Source organism: Homo sapiens, chromosome 2, assembly GCF_000001405.40.
Source record: "Homo sapiens chromosome 2, GRCh38.p14 Primary Assembly".
Taxonomy (NCBI): Eukaryota; Metazoa; Chordata; class Mammalia; order Primates; family Hominidae; genus Homo; species Homo sapiens.
The window spans coordinates 171,775,889-171,788,761 of NC_000002.12; the positions used below are offsets into that span (position 1 = coordinate 171,775,889).

At 38.6% G+C, this 12,873-nt stretch overlaps 1 protein-coding gene across 3 annotated transcripts in view; it reads right to left on the reverse strand.

The window, feature by feature from the left end:
• The window catches only part of SLC25A12 (solute carrier family 25 member 12), a 110,840-nt gene continuing 105,483 nt past the window's right edge, over positions 7,517 to 12,873 (reverse strand). For all 3 annotated transcript variants that reach the window (NR_047549.2, NM_003705.5, XM_047446142.1), the window contains 3 exons: positions 11,901 to 12,059; positions 11,683 to 11,773; positions 7,517 to 9,587 (listed from right to left, as the gene is read on the reverse strand). Coding sequence is in view for 2 of the 3 variants with exons in the window: in NM_003705.5 (NP_003696.2) it covers positions 9,386 to 9,587; positions 11,683 to 11,773; positions 11,901 to 12,059 (452 nt within the window). In the remaining variant the exon portion in view is untranslated. The remainder of the gene's footprint in view (positions 9,588 to 11,682; positions 11,774 to 11,900; positions 12,060 to 12,873) is intronic.

The window sequence follows — 12,873 nt, forward strand, 5'->3', positions numbered from 1 at the left end:
CATACACCTGTGGTCCCAGCTACTTGGGAGGCTGAGGTGGGGGATTACTTAAGCCTGGGAAGTCAAGGCTGCAGTGAGCTGTGATTATGTCACTGCACTCCAGCCTGGGCAACAGAGTGAAAACCCTATCTGAGAGAGAGTGAGAGAGTGAGTGAGGGTGAGGGAGAGAGAGAGAGAGACATCTCAAGAAGTTAGAAAGAGAATGGTAGGCAGGGCATGGTGGCTCACACCTGTAATCCTAGCACTTTGGGAGGCTGAGGTGGGTGGGTTACTTGGAGTCAGGAGTTCAAGACCAGCCTGGCCAACATGGTGAAATCCCGTCTCTACCAAAAAACAAAAATTAGCAAGGCATAGTGGGGGTGCCTGTAATCCCAGCTGCTCAGAAGGCTGAGACAGGAGAATCACTTGATCCCAGGAGGCGGAGGTTGCAGTGAGCCGAGATTGCATCACTGCACTCCAGCCTGGATGACAGATGAGACTCTGTTTCAAAAAAAAAAAGAAAAGAAAGAATGGCAAAATAGCCTAAGAAAATAGAAGAAAAACAGATAAGAGCAAAAATTAACGAAATAGCTGGGCCTGATGGCTCACACCTGTAATCCCAGCAATTTGGGAGGCTGAGGCAGGCGGATCACTTGAGGCCAGGAGTTTGAGACCAGCCTGGCCAACATGGTGAAACCCTGTCTCTACTAAAAATATAAAAATTAGCCAAGCATGGTGGCATGCACCTGTAATCTCAGCCACTTGGGAGGCCAAGGCAGGAGAATCACTTGAACCCAAGAGGCAGAGGTTGCAATGAGCCAAAGTCATGCCACTGCACTCCAACCTGGGTGTCAGAGCGAGACTCTGTCAAAAAAAAAAAAAAAAAAAAAAAGGATCAACACAGCCAGAAGTCAGTTCTCTGTAAAAACTAATAAAATTGACCAATCTCTGGACTGAATCATTAAAATACAGAAAGAAGTCACAAACAATATCAGAAATGAATAAGAAGAAATATTAAATGCTATAGGGCCAGATGTGGTGACTCATGCCCATAAACCTAGCACATTAGGAAGCTGAGGGGCAAGGATCACTTGAGCCTGAGTTCAAGACCAACTTGGGCAACATAGTGAGACCCTGTCTCTACAAAAAATAAAAAGTAAAATATTAGCCAGGCTTGGTGGCAGGCACCTGTAGCTCCAGACACTTGGGAGCCCAAGGTGGGAGGATCACTTGAGCCCAGGTGGTCAAGGCTGCAGTGAGCTATAATGGTGCCTCTGCACTTCAGCATGGCTGGCAGAGTGACCCTTTCTCTTTGTCTCTATTTATTTATTTATTATTTAATTAAATGTATTTCATTTATTTCATTTATTACATATAATTTAAAATGCTACAGACATTAAAAATAAAATACTTTTAAAATTTAAATAAAACTGGCTGGGCACAGTAGCTCACGCCTGTAATCCCAGCACTTTGGGAGGCCGAGGCGGGAGGATCACGAGGTCAGGAGATCAAGACCATCCTGGCTAACATGGTGAAACCTCATCTCTACTAAAAATACAAAAAATTAGCCGGGCGTGGTGGCAGGTGCCTGTAGTCCTAGCTACTCGGGAGGCTGAGGCAGGAGAATGGCATGAACCCAGGAGGCGGAGCTTGTAGTGAGCAGAGATTGAGCCTGGGCGACAGAGCGAGACTCCGTCTCAAAAAAAAAAAAAAAAAAAAAAAATTAATGAAACTGAAAAATTCCTAGAAAACTTAAAATTTAACAAAACTGAACCAAGAAGATTTTTTTTTTTTTTTGAGATGGAGTTTTGCTCTTGTTGCCCAGGTTGGAGTGCAATGGTGTGATCTCGGCTTCCCAAAGTGCTGGGATTACAGGCGTGAGCCACCATGCCCGACCAGAAGGAATTCTTAAAACCTGAAAATCTGAAGAACTAAAAGAAAAAAAGAAGCAAAATGAAGAAAGCCTCAGAGACCTGTGTAGCACCATCAAGCATACCAATGTATGTATAATTGGAATTTCAGAACTCTATACTGCAGAAGACAACAGGGAGTGGCCAAGCACGGTGGCTCACATCTGTAATCCCAGCACTTTGAGAGGCCAAGGTAGGTGGATCACCTGAGGTCAGGAGTTCAAGACCAGCCTGGCTAACATGGCAAAACCCTGTCTCTACTAAAAATACAAAAATTAGCCAGGCATGGTGGCACACGCCCATAGTCCCAGCTACTTGGGAGATTGAGGTGGGAGAATCACTTGAACCCAAGAAGTGGAGGTTGCAGTGAGCCAAGATCATGCCACTGCACTCCAGCCTGGGTGACAGAGCAAGACTCTGTCTCAGGAAACAAACAAACAAACAAACAAAAAAAGACAGTGAGCAAACGGAATAAAAAGAGATCAACATTTAGGCACATAATATTCAAAAAGAGGAATTTTTGAAAGCAGCAAAAGAAAGATGACTTACCATATATAAGGGAACAACAATATGATCAACAGTTGATTTCTCATCAGAAACCATGGATGCCGTAAGGCAGGAAGATGACATATTCAAAGCTGAAAGGAAAAAAAAAAAACAACCTGTCAGTCAAGAATTCTATGTCCAGCAAAATTATTCTTCAAAAATGAAGCTAAAATAATGACATTATTAAACAAATGACTGACGGTATTTGTTGCTAGACAACCTACCTTGCAAGAAATTATTAAAGGAAGTCCTATTATCTAAAAAGAAATAGCAGTAGTGTTTTAGACCATTTTATGCTGCCATAACAGAATACCACAGATTGGGTAGTTTATAATTAACAGATATTTGGCTCACAGTTCTGGAGGCAGGGAAGTCCAAGAGCATGGTGCTGGCATCTGGCAAGGACCTTTGTGCTCCATCATCCCTTGGTGGAGGGCAAGACGGGTGAGAGCAAGAAGGGCCAAACCGACTTTTATAACAAACCCACTCTTGTGATAACCAACCAACTACTGAGACAAATATGTTAATCCACTCATGAGGGCAGAGCCCTCATGACCTAATCACCTCTTAGAGGTCCCACTTTTTAACATGGTTGCATTTGGGATTAAATTTTCAACACATGAAGCTTGTTGGATACATTCAAACCATAGCAGATGGTAACTCGAATTCACATGAATGAAAAACACCTATAAAGGCAATATATAGGTAAATATAAGACTACACATATATTTTTTATCTTGATTTAAAATACAACTGCAAGGAACAGTAACTATAAAACTTTACTGTGTGGTTACAATATATACAAATGTAATATATATGACAATAGCAAAAGGAGGGAAAGAAATGGAACTATATTAGAGCTATGTTTTTATATTTTACTGGAACTTACTGGAATATATTTTCCAGAATTAATATGAATCAGTACATTGTGATAAATTAAGACATATATTTTAACCCCTAGATAAATCACTAAGAAAATAACTCCAAAAAATAGTTAAAACAAAAAACTTATAATAGAACACTATAAAATATGTATTTTTAACACAAAAGAAAGCAGTAAAGGAGAAAGAAAGGAACAAGAAAAAAAAAGAAGAGACATAGAAAATAAAACCCAATTATCAAAACCAGTGAGTTCAGCAAGGTTGTAAGATACAAAATCAACATACAAAAATCAGCTGTTTCTCTGTATAACAATGAATAATCTGAAAATGAAGAAAATTACATTAATAAAAACATCATAAATATTTAAGGGCCGGGCACGGTGGCTCACGTCTGTAATCCCAGCACTTTGGGAGGCCGAGGCAGGCAGATCACAAGGTCAGGAGTTCGAGACCAGCCTGGCCAACATGGTGAAACCCTGTCTCTACTAAAGATACAAAAATTAGCCGGGCGTGGTGGTGTGTGTCTGTAATCCCAGCTACTCAGGAGGCTGAGGCAGGAGAATTGCTTGAACCTGGGAGGCGGAGGTTGCAGTGAGCCGAGATCACACCACTGCACTCCAGCCTGGGTGACACAGCAAGACTGTCTCAAAAAAATAAATAAAATATTTAGGAATAAATTTAACAGAGGTATTAGACCTGTACACTGAAAAATATAAACATGGCTGAAATTTTAAAGATCTAATTAGAGATCCCCAGTGTGTGGATTGGAAAACTAAGGATTGTTAAGATGGCAGTTCTTCCCAAATTGATCTATAAATTCAGCAAAATCCCTATCAAAAAAAGAACAGCTGGTTTTTTTGAAGAAATTGACAAGCTAATCCTAAAGTTTATATGGAAATACAAAAGATCCAACATAAGCACAACAGTTTTGAAAAAGAACAAAGTTAGAGGATTTACACTTCCCTATTTCAAAACTTAATGTGAAGCTACAATAATCAAGATTGTGATACTGGCATAAGTATAGTGATATAGATTAATGGAACAGAAATGAGGGTCTACAAATAAACTCTTACAGGTATTGTCAATTTATTGTTGATTAAAGAACACCAAGGCAATTCACTGAGGAAAGGATTGCCTTTCAAGAATGGTGCTGAGGTTGGACATAGTGGCTCACACCTGTAATCCCAGCACCTTGGGAGGCCAAGGCAGGAGGATTGCTTGAGGCCAGGAATTTGAGACCAGCCTGGGCAACATAGTAAGACCTCATCTCCACAAAAAGTAAAAATAAAATAAAAATAGTAATTAGACAATCGGATATTCACATACAGAATATGAATTTAAATCCTTACTTCATACCATATACAAAAATTAACTCAAAATAATCATAGACCTAAATGTAATAACTAAAATACTAAACTTTTCAAGGAAAACAGAAAATCTTCATGACCTTAGTTTAACCAGTTTTTAGATGACACCAAAAACAGGAAATTGAACTTAATAAAAATGTTAAGCTTTTGTGCTTCAAAAGACACCAATAAGAAAACAGACTGGGAGAAAATATTTGCAAATCTGATATAGGACTCACATCCAGAACATATAAATAACTACTTCAACTCAATAATAAAAAGACAAACTCCAATTAAAAAATAGATAAAAGATTTGAAGAAACATAGATGTCTATAAGCACATGAAAAAATGCTCGACATTAGTTATTAGGGAAATGCAATTAAAACCACAATGTGGTATCACTTCACACCCACTGAATAGCTATAATAAGATAGTCAATAATTAAGTATTGGTAAGGATGTGAAGAAACTGTAACACTCATCCATTACTGGTGGGAGTATAAAGTGATACATTTTACATTTTGGAGCATGATATCAATACACTAAAATTTTATTGTGGTGATGGTTATGTAGCTCTGTAAATACTTCAGTAAAGCTGTCAGAAAGAAAACTGTACTGCTAGACTAACTTCCACTTTATTGTACTGGAACACGTCAGACGATACCAGGAGGAAGCAATCAGATAAATAATGTGAGACATTCTGTAAGACAACTGGCTTCCAATGTTATGAAAAAACTGAATTATATTCCCACATACCAGAAATGACATTTCCAAAAAAGATATTTATAATGGCATCCAAATATATGATGTACCTAGGAATATATGTAACAAAAGATTTACAAGACCTTCTTGGTGATTAATAAAATTTTATTAAGACATTAAAAGGACTTAGCAATATATCATGTTCATGGATTGAAAGGCCCACTATGATATAAATTCTCCCAAAATAGCTTATAGATTCATCGCAACTCCAATCAAATTTTCAATGTGTTCGGCTTTTTTTAGTGAAACGTGATAAGCTATTTCTAAAATATATAAAGAAGAGCAGAGAACCAAGAAGAGCCACAAGCTGTTGATGAATAACAAGGATGTGAAAGGACTTTGATATTATATATCAAAAATTTTTTTGAAGATCATGAAGTAATGAAGAGAGTGTACATTAGCACAGGAAAAAAACCAATATAATAAAGAGCCCATAAAAGATCTTTGCATATATTGACAATATACAACAGAAAAGGCACTTCAAAGCAATAGGAAAAGGAAGGTTTTTTGTTTTTGTTTTTTTTCAATAAACAGTGCTGGCACAACAGACTAGCCCTATAGCAGCAAAAAAATTACCTCATACTATATGTTGAAGATTGTTCCAAGTGGGATGAAACCAAAATGTGAGAGGCAAAACTACAAAGCATGTAACAAGAGAATATTAACTATATTTTTAACATAACCATAAAAAAAACCGAGCTAACCATAAAGGAAAACTATTATTTGAAGATATTAAAATTAAAATGTTACTATATTTATAAACATTGTGAAAAGACAAACCACAAAGTGGGAAAAGATTCTGCAACACAACTCATAAAGGAGTAGTAGCCAGAATATATAAAGAACCACCTGCAAATTCATGAGAAAAATGGGAGAACTTTAACACACTTCATTCACCAAAGATGAAATCCAAATGGTCAAAAAATATATGAAATGTGATCAGCCTCATGAACACCTTTCATATTTTTTTTCCATATAAGGAAAATGGTCATTTAAACTACAATATGATACCATTATACATCTACCAGACTGGGGGGCTGGGGAAAAGCCAATACACCCTGGGAAGAATGTAAATCAGTATGAGAATCTTCGGGAAACAGTTGGCATGATCTAGGTTCCACTCTTATGTATATGTCCTTTTAAAGATGCAAACTCCAGAAGACATGTTCAAAATATCCATAGAAGCACTGTTTGAAATATCCCCAAAGTGGAAAAAATCCAAATTGTCCATCAAGAGTAAAATGAAAAAAGTATATGTAATGTAATACATTCATACAATGGAATAAACACACTATGGCTACATACAATGATAAGGATGAATCTCATAATGCTTAGCAAAAGAAACCAGTCTCAAAAGTGTACAGTATAATTTGATTCATATAAATTCCAAAAATAGAAACTAAATATGGTCTTTAGAGACATATACATGGGTGGTAAAACTATGAAGAAAAGCAAAGCAAAGAGTAGGGATGATGTTAAAGTGGACAGAGGGTTGTGTTAGGGAGGGACATATATGGAGCTTTTGAGGTACTGGAGATGTTCTATTTCTTGACCCGGTGGTCATATGGTATGCACATTATGATATGTTAAAAAATATATATGTATGTGTGTACATATCTGTTGTGGACATGCATACATATGTTTCATGTACTTTGTCCATATTCCACAATAAGAAAATATACAAATGACCAGTAAATATGAAAAGACATTCAATCTCACTAGTAATTAGAAAAATAAAATAACCATGATCAGCTATCATGATTTGCTGAAAATGTAAAAGACTGATAATATCCCTCTTTGCTGAGGTTGCAAAGAAATAGGCATTCTCATATGCTGTCAAAGGAAAGTAAATTAATAACTCTTTTTGAAGAACAATGTGGCAATATGTATAAAAACATAAAGCTTGTCTTAAAAGTTTTCAATTGCAATTCCAAATATCTATCCTAATGAAATTCACATGCACTAAAGATATGTGTACAAAGATGTCTGCCATTCACTACAGCATTGTTTGCAGTAGTGAAAAAAATGAATAAATATCAATAAGGGAAGATTTATGAAAAGTATTATAACCCATACAATGAAATACTATGCAGCCATTAAAAATAAAACTTTATAAACTGACATGGAAAGATATCCAAAACACATTAAGTGAACAAAAGCAAGACACAGAATAACACACACATAACATAATCCTGTTTCTAAAATATAAATATGTACATATATTTCTATAGAGTTATGAAAAACAGACTACATATTCATGCTGTAACCTGTTAGCAGTGATTACCTCTGGGCCAGGAAGTGGTGGAGGTAGAAGGAGGGTAAGCGGGACACTTTCCCATCTCACTCTAGATACATACATAGGATTCTTTTGTAATCACATATCCATGGACTACTTATATATTTCTAACAAGTGGTAGTAGCAAAACAACTGTATTATTATTTGTTCCACTCCCATGAGACCAATCTAATACATTTGAAAATAACTTGCTTTCAAAGCTAATTCTTTTGTTCCTGGAGGGCCTCCAGGGAGCCTACAGTTGCAGTCACAGGGCTGTCAGCCATCAATCGAGGAGCACTGTGCAGGATACTAAGTAACTTGGTCTGTCTCCAGGCTCGCCTCTTGAAAATATTTGCATACATTCTCATATCCCAGCTTACTGGCAGTAGCAATAATGTCTTCCCAGAGCACTTTGGTAAGGTAAATAAATTCTGATACTGCACATCAAATCACATCCATATCAAAGTGTAGATGTGGCTGTCAAGATCTATGTTTAGATCCAAATTAGTAATCACGCCCTTGATGAGTGACTTTTAGAACAGTTTGCATTTGGATTCCAAAGTAAGAACCTAGACCCCACTAAATCACCATATAGAGCTTTTCTTCTCTTTCTTCTTCCCTCCCTTCACTCTGCGCTAGCCCTTTCTAAAACTAATTTTTCTGTTTTCTATAAAGGTGGAAGAAAGGGCGAACCCGATCATGAGTTATTTGCAATCAGTAGTCAATCAGAACAAAAAGTATTATCAGTATATTTACAAAGAAAAATCCAACTACATGTATACATTTTGGTGTGCATTTTATTTTTGACTGGAATCATATCCATATGAAGGGAAATTGTGAAAGTATCCTTTACTCTTTTGAAAGCTTGGCCTTTGCCTTACTGTGTCAAAGGAAAGCAAAACTAAGCCAGTAATGATGGAGATGTCCCTGTTTCCATATGCACACTGACAGGCGAGGAGCTGCCTAGGAAATGCTTTTTGATTGATGAACAGAGGAGGGTCTACACACATTAAATACAAATGGAAACACATCAGCACACACAAGTCATTAGCCTGGTCCTCTGGCATCCACTGGCATGCATCTTTCCAAAGTATCACTTATTCAGTGGTAGCAGCACTATGTCTCGTTATGCCTTTTATCAGCAAATACCTTTTTATTCCAGAATGGAAAACAAACTAGGAATTAAATACATCCAATATTGATGCTTTATTTCCATAAGTCACCAATAAGAGAATGAATTTAATTTTAATACATTTATTTTTGTGTGATTCTTAATAAAACACTTTCAAAACATTCTGTACATTTCAAGCCACTCAGAACCGCATTACATTTCTACAAATGTGATTTGTTGGGATGAGGTGCCAAGATGTCTCTGTACAAAGATGTACAATATGTACAATCACTGTAAGTGCAAGCTGTGCAAAGCAGAGTCTAGAACACTAATTCATGCCAAGGCTTACAAAAACATTTCAACACATAAGACTAAAGCTTGAAACAGCGTTGTGGTTTTTTCCCTGGGCAAATGATTATTTTATAAACAAGTATATGTATATGTCATACAGAAAGAAGAGTTTGACTCCTCAGCTCAGTCAGTACCATGCAGCTGACTGGATACATTACAGGGCTGCTCTCCTAGGCCTCTTTCTTCAAGGCGCCATTTTGCCACACTCAACAGTTGTCTCATCACTGAGTGGCTGCCACTGCTGCCTTTGGCTGAACCACAGCAACACTAGGAGACTTAAATTTCGGGAGATAAAGGCCAAATTTGTTTTCGATGCCTGCAAACGTGGCTGTGGCGAGTCTGTATCCACCGATGTGATCAGGGTTGGCAGGAGGAAGGTCTGCAATGCGTGACTTAGGTGTTGGTTCTGAACCAGCGGGTTTGCTGTTGACAGAAAAAAAGCCAATGGTTAGCATGCTCAAGGTGGATGAGCGCAGCTTACAGCTGGACATTTTCGGTCTGACCCATGTGCCACAAAGAAGAATGTTTCTCTCAACCATTTCCATGGCATCTGTGCTGCATGACTAGAAACCACAGTCATGATTTATAGCTGCTTTGACAGCAACTTATCTACATATTTGATTTACAAGAGAAATGGCCTTATTTCCAATGCTTGCATACATATATAAACAAATCCATAGGAAAAAAGTCAGAAGAAAAGACACTCAAATATGAAGACTCTCTGGGTAGTAAGATTATGGATGATTTTTTTCTTTTTTCTTCTTGTAAAGATGGGGTCTTGCTATGTTGCCAAAGCTGGTTTCGAACTTCTGGTCTAAGGAATCCTTCTGCCTTGGCCTCCCAGAGCACTGGGAGGTGTGAGCCACCACACCCAGGCTGGTTTTTTTCTTTTATGCTTTATGGTTTTCCAAATTTTCTGCACTTAGCACATATGAAAGTAATTTTTAAAGTATATATTTTTCTTTTGACATAACTTTAGAAGTTAACTTTTTATGTAGTAGACTCATAAAGATTATCAATTAAATTATTTAAAGAGAGATAGGCCGGGCATGGTGGCTCACGCCTGTAATCCCAGAACTTTGGGAGGCCGAGGCAGGCGGATCATGAGGTCAGGAGATCAAGGCTATCCTGGCTAACACGGTGAGACCCCGTCTCTACTAAAAATATTAAAAAAAAAAAAAATTAGCCAGGCGCGGTGGTGGGCGCCCTTAGTCCCAGCTTCTCAGGAGGCTGAGGCAGGAGAATCACTTGAACCTGGGAGGTGGAGGTTGCAGTGAGCCGAGATCGTACCACTGCACTCCAGCCTGGGCGACAGAGCAAGACTCCGTCTAAAAAAAAAAAAAAAAAAAAAAGAGAGAGAGAGAAATAGCTTTAGTTCTTTTACAGAAGATGAAAGAAGCATGGAAAAGCCTGAAGCCTCACATTTCTACAATGCAACTGTAAGACTGCTGTTCTCACTTTTTTTGCATAGGTCCCTCCACTTGGTTCAGCAGCTGATTCCCTATATGGCCTTTGGGCACAGAGGAGTTCACAGGTTTCTGATGTGAGGACTCAGGAATGGTACTTGGTCTTCTGCTGAAAAGCTAATAATTGCTTGCTTTGGGTACAACTTCCCCACCCAGAAAATTCAACTTGTAATTCTTCTTCTCAGTGCAAGCTTCAAGTGGTAAGCTTTTAGAAGCCCAATTTCTGGCCTACAGCTCACTAGTGATTATATCCATGGGCAAAATCTCTCTTCAAACCTATTGGTTTTTCCAGTAAATTAGCTTCAAGAACATCTGCACCTAACTAATAATAAATTGTGGTGAATAATGAAATATCAGAGATGCAAAAGGGCTTGGGACTTTGAAAGAAAATGCACAAAAGTGTTACTGGTATACATTTACATTACTTCTGTGAAAGGGCCATATAATAAAATCCACATAATGAGAACGCCATGAAGTTCAGTATTTGCTTATGTGAAAAAAGACAATTATTTACACAGCATTTTAATCTGCTGCCTCCTGGCTAGGCACGGTAGCTCATGTCTGTAATCCCAGCACTTTGGGAGGCCAAGGCTGGTGGAGTTCGAGACCAGCCTGGGCAACACAGTGAGATCCCATCTCTATAAAAAAGTACAAAAATTAGCTGGGTGTGGTGGCATGCCTCTGTGGTCCCAGCTACTCAGGAGGCTGAGGTGGGAGGATCGCTTGAGCCCGGGAGGTTGAGGCTACGGTGAGCCAAGAACATGCCACTGCACTCCAGCCTGGGCAACAGAGGATATCCTGTCTTTTTTAAAAAAATTTGCTGCTTCCCTAAAATCCCCCAAATAGCTGCTTAATATTATGTACGATGTCACTCTGTCAAGTTTTACTTGCTTAACACAAATGCTTCTTAAGCTCACTGTTTTAAATGCATTGGTCTTAAAGGTTCTGTCTTATCAGTTTTCTAAGAGTTGCAACAATGCTTTTGTAGACAGAACAAACATTTGTTTTGGACTTAGTGATTTCTTTGTAAAGGAGTTGAGCAGCTGACTTACAGGCCTCCAAAATCAATGTAAAACCACCGCTGGAGAAGTTCATAAGTGACCAAGGTAACACCAAACTGGGGAGAGGATCGAAACACTCGAGCTGAAAAAGAGAAGCAGGGGCAGGGGAGACTTGAAACCAGGACAAATGTGGTAAAGATAGCCACTGAGTCACAGGGGAGGACGCTAGAGCCAGCCAGCCATTCTGTATGGCTCCAGCCCCTGCCTACCTGCAGTCCCTTTCCAAAATGCTGAGGGCCCTTCTTCCCGGAGAATCTTCCTGAAACAGTCGATGACACCACTGTATGTCGTCTGGCCAGCGCGGGCAGCCACCTGCAGTCTTGTCTTGATGACATCAGCAGGGGTCACCAGAGATGCAGCTGGGACACCTTTCAGGAGAAAACCACATTTAATTTATCTAGAGTACCTTATAAAAGATAGGAATACTGCTAACATCTACTATAGAGCCTGCAACTTCAACCACTTGAGCGGAACTCAAAACTCTTTACATAGATGTCTGGCCATTAATGGGAAAAGGGCATAGAAGCCTATTAGCTGTTGCAGTGTGATCAGGGGAAAATTATTATTATTTTTTCCTGAATTAAAAAAAAAATCACTCTACATTGCATGATCCCAAATAACTGTGAGAGAGAAAAAAAAAGTAGCAATATTAATAAGACAATTCCCAAGCGTTCCCTTTCAGTTTCAATTATTTTACCTCCTTTTTTTCTTAAATAAGATACAAGTATTTTTATGTATAAAAAAATGATAATGTCATCTTAGTGAGTCACTAAATGTATCTGACACCAAACTACTGTTTTTGCTGATTCTTGTCGTAGTGTGGGAAGTGAATATCAATACTTATAATCACTCGCTTGTTTGAAGGGCTACCTTGAGAGTTGACTGTGACTCCTTTCAGACATGCTTACATGACAAAAGTCATTACAACTGGAGCAAGAGGTGGCCAGGCAGCCAGTTAAGAAACAACAGGGGAGCTGGTCAGGGAAAGGCCCCTGTGCCCGAGCTCCCTGGGGTCATGTTGAGATTGATCAGCAGCAGGACACAAAAGATGGATTTCACAACCACACCTTTTACTTATAAAACAAAACAGAGAGCAAAGGAGCAAAATAATCTTCCCCGGGGGAAGAAATTCAATTTGGCCTGAATATCACTGTATCCTCACTAGGCGGATGGAGTTGGCAG